Genomic DNA, 12,836 nt, shown 5'->3' with positions numbered 1-12,836 from the left:
AGTAGCTATGGTACATGTTGAACCTGAAGTGTTCAATCGTGAAATACCCAGGAGCAGATAAGCTATGGGACAGGAGTTCAGGGAAGGAAGAGGATTCAAATCAGAGACTTGAGAGTTTTCTATAGATAAGGGACAGCTGAAGTCCTAGAATGAGAAAGAGAGGGAGAGAGTACCAAGAGCCCCAAAGTGATGAACAGTGAAACCTTTCAAAACCAGATGTTTGCAAGAATATGAGCACAATGAAAGGGATGGAAAAGCAGCAATCAGTATGGGATAAAAATTCAGGATCCAATAGCATCGCTGAAAACATGAAAGGAGTTTCAAAAAGGAATGGGTGATAGATGATGAATGATGGTTAAGGACCAGAGCATTTTAAAGATACCACTAGACCAACAAATCAGCAGGGTTATTTCCCCTCTCAACTATTAACATACTATATATAATTATTTAATTGGTGGTTAGGCAGATAAAAAGAGTTTGTGGTTGTAAGACATAGTCTATTTTATGTTTTATAATGACAAAAAAGGAGATACATCCAGATGCTGCTATTCTCTGTGTAGAGAGTTATTTAAAAAATGTTGCTAATATGGATCAATTTTGAGTAATGTCACTTAGAATATGTACTCTTCTGGGTGCTATATAATAGAAATAACACTGCTGATGCTATGGATTGGTGATGTATTATGAATGTGTGGGTAACCTATCAAAGTGTACAAGTCCTAATAAAAGTTATAAAGAACATCCAAAGGCATATAAAACTGCCACAGGGACTATTAAGTAATTCATGGGATACTGCCAAGCACACACAAAAATGGTATGTTTCTGAATTCACAAGAATGCTTGGGAAGTGATGCTTCTCACCCGCTCATGAAACACTCAGTTTATGTCCAGGATCTAACACGAGCCACACTTGCAACTACTTTCATTTTAGCTGTGAACCATCTGGGAAGGTACCACAGATAGAAAGCAATGTTTCTGGTCAGTTTGAGTATTAAAATCACTCAGATCTGACTGATGGAGATGGCATTAGAGGAAGTCAAGTGCTTTTTCCAGTGTCACTGAAGCTGGCCTCTGGAATAGAGGTGTGAACTACTGTGCAAGAAATGCCCTCTACTTCCCCCAAATGGAAATAAATTAATAATTAAGAGTGACTATGGACAGATTCAGGTTTTGTGGGACCTACAACTTATATATAACTTGGGTATCCTCTCTAAGAAATAAGAAAGCAAAATTGCAAATACAGGACTGAGTATGAAACTGGTTATTTATTTAGAATGAGAACCAGAAGCAACCTACAGTTATAAGGCCATAAAGCATAAAGTTTATCAGCTACATGGTAATTTCACCTCTGCTAATGACCAAGTATGGAGCATAAAGTATAGAAAGGGAGGAAGAGCAGGTAATCAGGCAGAGGAAAAATAAAAAAACCGCGCTCCTTAAGGAATTCTGGAGACTGAACAAGAAAAAGACTAAGAATAAAATCCCAGAAAGAACTCTGAATTGCAGAATACAGATGGTATGGAGATGGGAGAGGACCCAGAACCCCTAGTCAATGTATATAACACATTGTCATCATATTTATTTTCCAGTGATCTACAACCATATTGCTTTTAGGAGGCTTGCCTAGTGGGACCAGATTTTGGGAAACAGCAGTCCACTTCATTGCAGGTACTCAACAAGTGTTTTTTGAATGAATAAATAAATACATAAATAAATAAAGAGAAACAAGCTGAAATACTCCTTTTTCTTACTCTCCACCAGGAGCTGCTTTCCTCTGATGCTCCAACATACATGTATGTTTTTGCTGGTACTGGCTGGAACTGGCAAAGCAACAGTTCATGCCAATCTCTTCTCTTGGCCTGTTCAGGATAAACAATGTTGGGTTCAGATAAAGCTATCTCTACCCAACATTAATTTGTAGCATGTTCAGAGTCTCCTCGAAAGATTTATATATAAAAATGGCTACTGTGGGGCCACTCTACTTACTCCCTCCCATCAGCTTTCTCTTTCTGAATCAGATCCTGCAGGGATAACTCAGAAATTATTAACACCTAGTAGGGGGAGGATAGGTCAGTGTGGTATTCTAGCCAGGGATGAAAGGCAACAAAATTCCTAATTTTCAAACATTTTACCAATGATGGCAACATAGGCGACAATATATCAATCATGATGAGGCTTCCAGGAAGATATTGGAAAGCCTCATGCACCACTCACTTGGTTAGCCACAAATCCAAGCCAGGACCAGGGGCACCCTGGCCCACCAACTGGCTCATCAGAAGACAAGATTCAGGTGGTGGGAGCTCTTAGTGAAAGGAGGAAGGAGGATACAACAGGGCACTCAGCCCCTGCTTCATAAAGGGATTCTCTTTGGACAATAAATGTCCTACACCTTCCTGCAAGTTCATATATATATATACACACACACAGTTCATATATATATATATATAAACACAGTTCATATATATATATATAAACACAGTTCATATATATATATAAACACAGTTCATATATATATATAAACACAGTTCATATATATATATAAACACAGTTCATATATATATATAAACACAGTTCATATATATATATAAACACAGTTCATACACACACACACACACACACACACACACACACACACAGGAATAGTTTAAGAGCTCACCCCCTCTTCTCCTCTTTTTTTTTTTAACCTTTTCTTAAAGGAGTCTACCTCCTTCCTCTTCACCTACTAAATTTTCTACGGAAAATAGAGAAGAGCAGGACTGGAATAACACTACTGCTCCCTCAATACTACAGAAATCTGTATCCTGATGTTCTGTTTAGGGCAAAGGATATGAAATCAGTGAGGCAAAGCAGCCACCTCAGGAATTAGTACTGCAGGTCTTAAATGGGAGAAAATCGTTCAGCCACTTACAAGCTAGGTGATTCGACCTCAAGAGAGTTATTGAAACTCCCCAGACCTCAGTTTCTTGGTTTTGCAAAACGGGGATGAATTTAGTTCCCACCTCACAGGACTGTTGAGGACTGAGAAAATCCACGTAAAGTGCTAAATACAACTGCACAGCAAGAGCTAATTAAATATTAGTATTTAATAGTAGTAGTAGTAAAATTATTGTGTCTGCCTCCCCCAGTCACACCACCAGCAAAACTGGCACAACCCCCACTCCTACCTCGCAGGATATGGGGCCAAGCCATGGCTACACTACACTCTCGCATGCATGAGAGACCCCCAAACACCACAAGAGCTACTGTAGGTTCCCCTACCCCTCACTGGCCAGGGTCCCCCAGGCCACCGCTACGGTCCACACTGACCTGAAATGCCACCTCCGATCACGACTACGTCGAACATGTGGCCCGCGATACTCGCCTTCTCTTGATTCTCCATGCTTTGGCTGACACGCTCCTGGGTCGTAGGCACAGGAGTGGGGACGGCAAAGGGTGGGAAGGACCCTTCTATCAACTCCCCCGGGGAGCCCGGGGGCGGAGCCGATCCTTCTTTTGATACCCGGGGGGAGCCGGGCACTGTGGGCGGGGCGAACCCTTTTGCTGATACTCCGGGAGCGCCCAGGGGCGGAGCTGATGTTTCAGCTGATACCCGGGGGGAGCTGGGCACTGAGAGCGGGGCGGACCCTTGTACTGACACTCGGCGAGAGTTATTAGGTTTAGAATGTCCTTGTGTCGGCAGCTGGAAAGGATTACTGGGTGCAGGAGGTTCTTGTATTGAACCCCGCGGAGTGTCAGGCACTGAGGTGGGGGTAGACGCCTGCCTTGACACTGGGGGGATGTTATGGGGTGCAGGAGGTGCTTGTGGCGACACTGGGGAAATGTTATTGGGTAGAGGTGGTCCTGGTACCAAACCCCAGGGGAAGCTGGACACTGAGGATGCGGCAGACCCTTGTACTGACACTCGGGGGTGTTACTGGGTGTAGGAGGTGCTTGTATTGACACTTGCGAAAGGTCATTGGGTATAGGAGGTCCCCGTACAAATATCCAAGTGTAGTCGGACACTGAGGTCAGGTTGGAATCCGGGGGCAGGGTCGGTCCTTTTACCAAACCCCGTGGGGTGCTGAACCCTGAGGAGAAGGCAGACCCTTGCAATGACTCTACGGGGGAGTTTACGGGCGGGGTAGGTCCTGTTACTAATACCCAGGGAATGCCGGTGTCCTGATTGGAGGCTGTGACGGCCCCATCGGAGGAGTTCGAGCTGGTGGTAGACTTGGGGATCCGACTGCTCGGGTTGTAAGCGCTGAAACCCCGGAGGCCACTCTTGGAGTCGGAGTCAGTACTCTCGCTAAGACCGGTAGTGCTGATTGGGGAGTGTATGCTGGAGCTCCAGGAGGCGGCCTCGGCAGTTGAGGACGTGCTCCACTGGGAACTGGCTAGCGGATCCGAGACGGACCGCCACTCAGAACGGACGCTCCATTCGGACAGGCTGTAGGAGGTGTCGTCCAAGCTGGAGTCCGGGTTCGGGACCTGGGCAGTTGTGCCCCCGGCTTCGGGCGGGCCCTCCGCCTTGCGCTCGGTGCCGGTGCCGGTACTGGTGCGGGTACTGGTGCCGGTGCCGGTACTGGTGCGGGTACTGGTGCCGGTGCCGGTACTGGTGCGGGTACTGGTGCCGGTGCCGGTGCCGCCGGGGAAGGAGGCTGAGGCGTTTGTGCTCATGTTTCTGGAGCACGCTGGGCGCTGGGGGCGGTGTTCTGCTTCCCGCAGCCCTTCTCCACGGTCAGGCTGTTCTCGGTACCCACTCTTAGAGACCAGCCCCGGGCTCCCGGCCCAGTCAGGGGCGGGGAGAAGTGACTCTAGGCCGGCCTGGCTCCGCCTTCCCGGCCTGCCTGCAGGCTCGCGCTGGAAACCCTGCCACTGGGCGTGGCCGGACGATGCCACTGCAGGCGGGGGGCGCGGTTGCCTGGCGAGAGTGGGGGAGTAGACGTGGGTGTAGCCGCGTGGGCTCTCAACCTAGTGCTTTCATTCTTTAGTTTTAACTGAAAGCTATCTGGGCAAGAGTGGACTTAAGGAAGCAGATATATGAAGGCGGCTGAGCCAGGCAGGATCGCAGGGTCGCAGGGTGCTGCCCCACTTGGTCTGGCCCCTTTGTGACGTCATGTAGGGCCCGTCGAGGTCTGCGCAGCCTCCAGCCCTCACTAGGTTGAGGGCGGGGCGGGGAGGGGCGGGGAGGGGCGGGGAGGGGCGGGGAGGGGCGGGGAGGAGCGGGGAGGGGCGGGGAGGAGCGGGGAGGGGCGGGGAGGAGCGGGGAGGGGCGGGGCGAGGCGAGACGGGACGGGGCGGGGCGAGAACCGTCACTTGGGGGAGACCAGGCAATTGTTGGTTCTCTGTGGGGTTTTTCAAGCTGAGGCGCTTAACCCAAATCGAAGCAAGTAGGCAAGAAAAATAACTCACCTATCATGTATTAAGTGGGACTGCATTTTAAAAGGTCAAAGGGATGGCTAAGGTGCAGAAACAAATGAAATAAGAAAACATGTGTTTCCCCATCCTACTGAAAAGAGTGCTATTTAGTGCACATATTTTACTGTGCAGCCAGCCTTCTGTTTGCTAGTTTTATCCCTTTCTTAATTTTCCACTTTTTGTTATCCTGAATTTGTCATCAAAAGCTGAATTTGTCATTACTGGAACTCTCAAAGATAGGTGAAATCTGGCCGGGCGCGGTGGCTCACGCCTGTAATCCCGGCACTTTGGGAGGCCGAGGCGGGCGGACCAACTGAGGTTGGGAGTTCACGACCAGCCTGACCAACATGGAGAAACCGCGTCTCTACTAAAAATACAAAATTAGCCGGGTGTGGTGGTTCATGCCTGTAATCCCAGCTACTCGGGAGGCTGAGGCAGGAAAATTGTTTGAACCCAGGAGGTGGAGGTTATGATGAGCCAAGATCGCGCCATTGCACTCCAGCCTGGGCAACAAGAGCGAAACTCCGTCTCAAAAAAAAAAAAAAAAATAGGTGAAATCGTGACGTAAATTTAGAGAAAGTGATGAGAACTCGAGGAAGCTAATGATGTCTGCTCCCACCTATAAACATTCCTCCTGTTGCCCCTCGCCCCATTCTGTATCAAACATCTTGTTGAATAAACTGTAAAGAAATATGGATTTAGTCTTTTCTTCATCCTGTTTCAATAACTTTTACTTCCTAGAAAAGGACTTGAGACTTATGACTAAATTGAAATCATTTTTATCTTGGTAGACTTTGAGCATAGAGAGAAGAAAAACTAGATATGAAGAAATCAGCTCTTTCTAATGTGATTCTGTCCACCTTTCTCCTTATTCTCATTGTTTTCATTTATTTTCGTTCAAATACTTGATTTCACAGTATGTGCTAGGCACAGGGCATGGTACTGGGATACACAGGCAACACAAGACAGAGACCATCATCATCGAACACACAGTCTAGTGGATGAGTTAATAGAGGACATAGACAACTGTCTATCTGATGTGTAAATACAAACTCTGACAAATGTTATATTAGAAAGATCCACATGGATAAGAAAGTGTTAGGGTGTCCTGAGTCCTGACCCCTCTGGAGATTAACTTTGGGACAGAGAGTGTAAAAATGTTTTAGAAAGAAGAAACAATGTGTGCAAAGGCCCTGTGGTAGAAAAAAAGCATAGTTCATTAAGGCAACTAAAAGTTACTCTGTGGAGCTCTGGGCAAGGGGGAGACAACGCTGCTGAGGCCGACTGGGCCAAGGTAGCATCCTTGGCCTCGATCCTAAGAGCAACAAAAGCCACTGCAAGACTTTAGGCAAGTCGCAATATACCTAGATTGCAACTTGGAGAGGTCTATCTGCCTGCCATGTGCATAATCGGGCAAGAGTAGATAGGTACCGGTAGACCAAAGTTAGGAATTCTTTAAAGAATGAGGTGAAAGTGTCTTAGACTGAGGTAGGTGGTGGCAGTGGAGCTGGAGACATGTGGCTATCTTAGAGACATTTACATATAAGGTTGACAGGACTTGGTTGTAGCTAGAATTTGGAAGACCATGAGCATGTTTTTGGACATGATGAGTTTCAAGTACCTTTGAGACATCCAGATGAATGTTATAGAGTAGGCAACGGAACATAAAGCCTGAGACTCAAAGCAAGAGTTTGGATGGAGATGAAAATGTGGAAGTTTCATTAAATAAAGGATGGAAATCGATGAGTAGAAATATGAGTATTTTCTCTCTTCATTTTATTTGTGTTGTATGAAAACAATAAAAGTTCATTTTAAATAAACAAATAAAAGAATGACTGTGAAACATTCCATAAGTATTATTTCCTCCCTTGTGTGACCTTAGGCAAATTACTAGACTTCTCTCTGCGTGTTGTCCCAGCCGTAGAATCGTAGAATCCTATAAGTTGTTGAATCAGTCAGGGTTCTAGCAGGAAACAGCAAACTCAAATTAAGTAATTTCAAGAGCGTATCATCAATGAACTATTTTCAAAGATGTGGGCAAGATGGAGAGAAGCCGTAAGGAATCGTGCAGTACCCTGGGTTGGTAACAGCAAGAAGGTATCACTCTGAACAGGTAGGGGGAGAAAGCAGTCACCAGAAATTTAGTGACAATGCTGTTAGGAAAGGGCTGCCTGACACAAGGTGTGGCCTTTAGTTCAGGGAGACAGCCAGCCCACAGGAAACCCGCAGGTAGGAAGCTGGGAGAATAAATACGTAATCTCCCTCCCTCCAGTCTCCTGCTGGTCCTCTGCATAGACCTAACCCAACCAGAAGCTAGAAAACAAGGGAGACTCTTGGTGATGCAGTCCATACAGGTGTGAGACAAAATAGCAAGTGCCAAGAAGCCATGTTTGCTCATTTCTGCTTGCCAGCATAATTTCACAAAGCCTCTGACTCTGTGAAGATATGCAGCTCACCAGAAGGATGCTTTGAAGACACAACAGGGTAGAGCACACGGCCCCCCATGTTTCTTGTCTGAGTCACTATATTCCTTAGAAGATAAATGACCCTAGTCCTTGCCTTTCCCTACACATAAGGTAACGTCTGATGGGGTTGGTGATTATGCTTCCGTAATCTGTTGCCAGATGTACTCTTACACCCAAATCTAGATGTGATTCTGCTTCATTGTAACTTCCAAGCAGGTTTGATGCAATTTTGCAGGTACTGAACTCCCACGCTTGTCTATAAGCAATGGGCTGAAATACTGTGCCCGAGCCGTCTGATGGAACTGCTCCCGAGCTATAAGCCTTGGTCTATAGTCTCCAGTAAGACTTCTGTATAAAATTAACTGTAATTCTTTAAAAGCTTCATTTTTTTCCCTTAGTTGACACAGGTCAGCCTTCAGGGGCCAGAACAGAGTAGAGAAGTGTGGTAGTAGCACCCGGAGAAGCAAAATGAAGATATCTAGCACAGCTGAAGCGAGGGTTAAGTGAGCAAATGCATTAAAACATTTAGGGTAGTACCAGACATGTAAGAATTACTCAATACATATTCACATTTTAATTTTTAAAAAACTACATTATATATTCATGCCATATATATATATATATATATATATTCACTCTCTATGTTCAATTGCCTACTCTAGTCTACTTAATCATTACCCTCTAACATTAAGCGTTTAGTACTTTCCAATTTTTAATATAATACATAACATGGAGACGAACATTTTGTGCATAAAATATTGTATGTAGTTTTTACAATTTCCTTGAGATAGAATCCTAAAACAGGATTATGAGGTAAGAAAGTAGGAGCATTTTTAAGCTCTTTGATTGAAGTTACCAAATTACTTCCCCAAAAGATTATACAAATTTATACTTCATTAGTAATGCCTAAGAATGGCTATCTTCTTACTATACCCACTCCGACAATAAACAAGTTCACTTTTAACCTTTCTTAACTTGAAAGGTGAAAAATCAGCATGGCGTTGCTATTTAAATTAGCATTTATTTGCTTACTGGTGAAATACATCTTTCAAAAATGTATTATAGCCATTTCCATCTCTTCTGTTGTGAATGATCACTTCATGCCTTTCTGCAGTTGATTTCTGAAAGTGCTTTATAAAAGATAGTAACCCCTTGCTTGCTATTTTCACTGAAGAGAGTTTACTCCAATTTGTATTTTAGTGCTGTTTATGACATTTTAGATATGCATAATATTTAAATTTATGTGGTTATATCAGAGTGAACAGGCAACCTACAGAATGGGAGAAAATTTTTGCAACCTACTCATCTGACAAAGGGCTAATATCCAGAATCTACAATGAACTCAAACAAATTTACAAGAAAAAAACAAACAATCCCATCAAAAAGTAGGCAAAGGATATGAACAGACACTTCTCAAAAGAAGACATCATGCAGCCAAAAGACACATGAAAAAATGCTCACCATCACCGGCCATCAGAGAAATGCAAATCAAAACCACAATGAGGTACCATCTCACACCAGTTAGAATGGCAATCATTAAAAAGTCAGGAAACAACAGGTGCTGGAGAGGATGTGGAGAAATAGGAACACTTTTACACTGTTGGTGGGACTGTAAACTAGTTCAACCATTGTGGAAGTCAGTGTGGCAATTCCTCAGGGATCTAGAACTAGAAATACCATTTGACCCAGCCATCCCATTACTGGGTATATACCCAAAGGACTATAAAACATGCTGCTATAAAGACACATGCACACGTATGTTTATTGCGGCACTATTCACAATAGCAAAGACTTGGAACCAACCCAAATGTCCAACAATGATAGACTGGATTAAGAAAATGTGGCACATATGCACCGTGGAATACTATGCAGCCTTAAAAAATGATGAGTTCATGTCCTTTGTAGGGGCATGGATGAAGCTGGAAACCATCATTCTCAGCAAACTATCGCAAGGGCAAAAAACCAAACACCGCATGTTCTCACTCATAGGTGGGAACTGAACAATGAGAACACATGGACACAGGAAGGGGAACATCACACACCAGGGACAGTTGTGGGGTGGGGGGAGGGGGGAGGGATAGCATTAGGAGATATACCTAATGTAAATGACGAGTTAATGGGTGCAGCACACCAACATGGCACATGTATACATATGTAACAAACCTGCATGTTGTGCATATGTACCCTAGAACTTAAAGTATAATAAAATAAATAAATAAATAAATAAATAAATTTATGTGGTTATATCTATTATTTAGTGATTTCTTCCATTGTTTTTCAACTTGGAAGGGCTTTGTCTTTCAAAGATTTGAAGGAAAAAATCTGTTTTCTTTTATAATAGTTTTTTGATGGTTTGATATTTTAAATTCTTTTTTTCTTTTTTTGAGACGGAGTCTTGCTCTGTTGCCCAGGCTGGAGTGCAGTGGCGTAATCTCGGCTCACTGCAACTTCTGCCTCCTGGGTTCAAGAGATTCTTCTGCCTCAGCCTCCCAAGTAGCTGGGACTACAGGCCTGCGCCACCACATGCAGATAATTTTTGTATTTTTAGTAGAGAAGGGGTTTTACCATGTTGGCCAGGCTGGTCTCAAACTCCTCACCTCAAGTGATCTGCCCACCTCAGCCTCCCAAAGTGCTAGGATTACAGGCGTGAGCCACCATGCCCAACCTGATATTTTAAAATTTAATTATTTAAGCCTAATCTACTGGTATGTATTTTGCTATGTGCTATAAGGTGAGGACCTAAATGGATTCTCTGCTCCCCCACACAAATAGCTAACCAATCATAAGAGAACTGTCTGTCGAAAAATCCTTCCATTCTCCACTGATTTGTTTTACCTCATGTAACATAAACAGTGATATGCTTTTGAACCGTCTCTTGTGTTATATTGACCTGCTTATTTTTGCCACATTACCATCAATGTCACATTGATTTACTTATTGTTGCCTTATTAGATTTTATCAGATAGAAAGATTAGTCCCTTCCCAATAGTTTTTTTAACAAATTCTTAGCAATATTCTTACATAGTCCTTTTATTAATATATTCTTATATATTTAAATAAATTTCAAAATCATTTCATCAATGAAATGACTGGTTAACTTAATTGTGATGATATTTCCTAGACATCAATTTGAAAAATTTCTATTTGGCAGCCCTCACATCTTTTAAAATAAGTCTTCGTTTACAGAATACTCTTGAGAAATTGTTTCATTTATCCCTGAAATTAAACAAATTTGTGAGGATAATAAGAGTCTGTGTGTGTGTCTGTGTGTGTCTATTTGCGTGTGTGTAGTATCATAAATCCTTTCAATCTGTGGGTTTTTAATTTGGGGTTTTTGTTCATTCCTGGGCAAGGAGTTTTTCTCTACTATAACTTGGATTATTTTATCTGTTTTAAATATTTGGTTTCTTCCTCAGAAACACCTATAGTTATCTTGTTGGATCACCTTTCTATGTCCTTTATCATTGTTGTCATCTTTGTCCTTTTCCTCTGAATTTTGAGAGCTAATCAAATTTATCCTTCACATTACTGATTTAATTTTCTGAAGTTCTAATTCTATTTGTACTGCTTCTAATGCAGATTTTAACTGTCATTTCATTTTAGGTTTTGTTTTGTTTTTTACTTTAAGTTCTTATTTCAGCCAACTCACTTTTCATTTATGCCATGTATATCTCAATGCATTTTCTCCTTATGATTTCCTCACTATTTCACAGTGTGAACCACTGCCCTGGGCCAAAAATGCTATTCTTGGTCTATAGACACATATGGCATTCTCATACATTGCTGGCTCAAGTACAAATGGTACAACCTCTGATAGTGAGGAATTTGGTAATATCTAACAAAATACCTATGCATTTACCCCTTGACCCAGCAATCCTCCTAGGAATTTACCTTAATAATACACTTCCACAAACAGTGAAAAAATATGCCCAAGGTTATCTATTGTGGAATTATTTTGAATAGCAAAATATTCAAAACAATTTACATGCCCATCTATAGAGGACCATTTGCATAAACACTGATAAGTCTACACAATGAAACACTATTCAGTCATTACAAAAAAGAAAAGAAAGAAGATCTCTGTGAACTGGTATGGAATATGGAGTGATTTTCTGGATATATTTTCAAGTAGTAAAATGAAGGCCGGGTGCGGTGGCTCACACCTGTAATCCCAGCACTTTGGGAGGCAGAGGAGGGTGGATCACCTGAGGTCGAGAGTTCAAGAGCAGCCTGACCAACATGGAGAAACCCTGTTTCTACTAAAAATACAAAATTAGCCGGACATGGTGGTGAATGCCTGTAATCCCAGCTACTAGGGAGGCTGAGGCAGGAGAATCGCTTGAACCCAGGAGGCGGAGGTTGCAGTGAGCTGAGATCGCACCATTGCACTCCAGCCTGGGCAACAAGAGTGAAACGCCATCTCAAAAAAAAAAAAAAGTAGTAAAATGAAGGTATGAGAGAATATATATATAGCATACCTTTGAATATGTCTATATGTATGTATGTCTATTTGTATCTTTGTGTAAGGATATATTACTTATATTTTCAAAAATATATAGGAAGGATAAATCATATATGGAGAAATGAATGAAAATGGGATGGAAGGAGTAGGAATGGAAGTGAAGTTTCTCTGAGTATTCTTTTTTAAATAGTGCAACTCCCATTAGGGATTCTTCATGGGTCCAACTAAACCTTCAGACTCACAAAACTACCATGGACTGTATTTGGCATCAGTACACTCAAAGGGATACAACAAACCACAGCTTGCCAGCAGGACAGCATGGAGCGTTTACCTTCCATGGGTGTTCTTACAGCAGATCAAAGAGCAGTCAGACTAGCTATCCTGCGGCTATTCTCATTAGTTTCCCAAGTGGTAGTTTACGTACAAGGGAACAAGTTTCACTTCAGACAACAGTGGAACTTAGCCTGATTTAGCAGCCTTATGCCCCATAGGAGCCAATAACTTTTGTAATA

The 12,836-nt window shown here is 42.9% G+C and overlaps 1 protein-coding gene across 2 annotated transcripts in view, besides 2 other annotated features; it reads right to left on the bottom strand.

Moving 5' to 3' along the window:
• The window catches only part of MAOA (monoamine oxidase A), a 91,812-nt gene extending 87,097 nt beyond the window's left edge, over positions 1-4,715 (bottom strand). The window contains exons 1-2 of one of the 2 annotated variants that reach the window (NM_001270458.2): positions 3,307-4,715; positions 1,752-1,859 (exon numbers count right to left, since the gene is read on the bottom strand). Coding sequence is in view for 1 of the 2 variants with exons in the window: in NM_000240.4 (NP_000231.1) it covers positions 3,307-3,379 (73 nt within the window). In the remaining variant the exon portion in view is untranslated. The remainder of the gene's footprint in view (positions 1-1,751; positions 1,860-3,306) is intronic. The other variant, NM_000240.4, reaches the window with a different exon arrangement.
• Positions 4,520-4,914: a silencer, noted in NCBI's record as "fragment chrX:43514055-43514449 (GRCh37/hg19 assembly coordinates)". NCBI's record gives its function as "represses an EF-1alpha promoter that drives an FKBP-Casp9 reporter gene in an ReSE screen in HepG2 liver carcinoma cells {active_cell/tissue: HepG2}" and the evidence as "EXISTENCE:reporter gene assay evidence [ECO:0000049][PMID:32094911]".
• Positions 4,529-4,588: an enhancer, noted in NCBI's record as "active region_29564". NCBI's record gives its function as "activates an Ori minimal core promoter by ATAC-STARR-seq in GM12878 lymphoblastoid cells {active_cell/tissue: GM12878}" and the evidence as "EXISTENCE:reporter gene assay evidence [ECO:0000049][PMID:35858748]".

Source organism: Homo sapiens, chromosome X, assembly GCF_000001405.40.
Source record: "Homo sapiens chromosome X, GRCh38.p14 Primary Assembly".
Lineage (NCBI taxonomy): Eukaryota > Metazoa > Chordata > Mammalia > Primates > Hominidae > Homo > Homo sapiens.
This window is presented reverse-complemented; position numbering and strand designations above follow the sequence as displayed.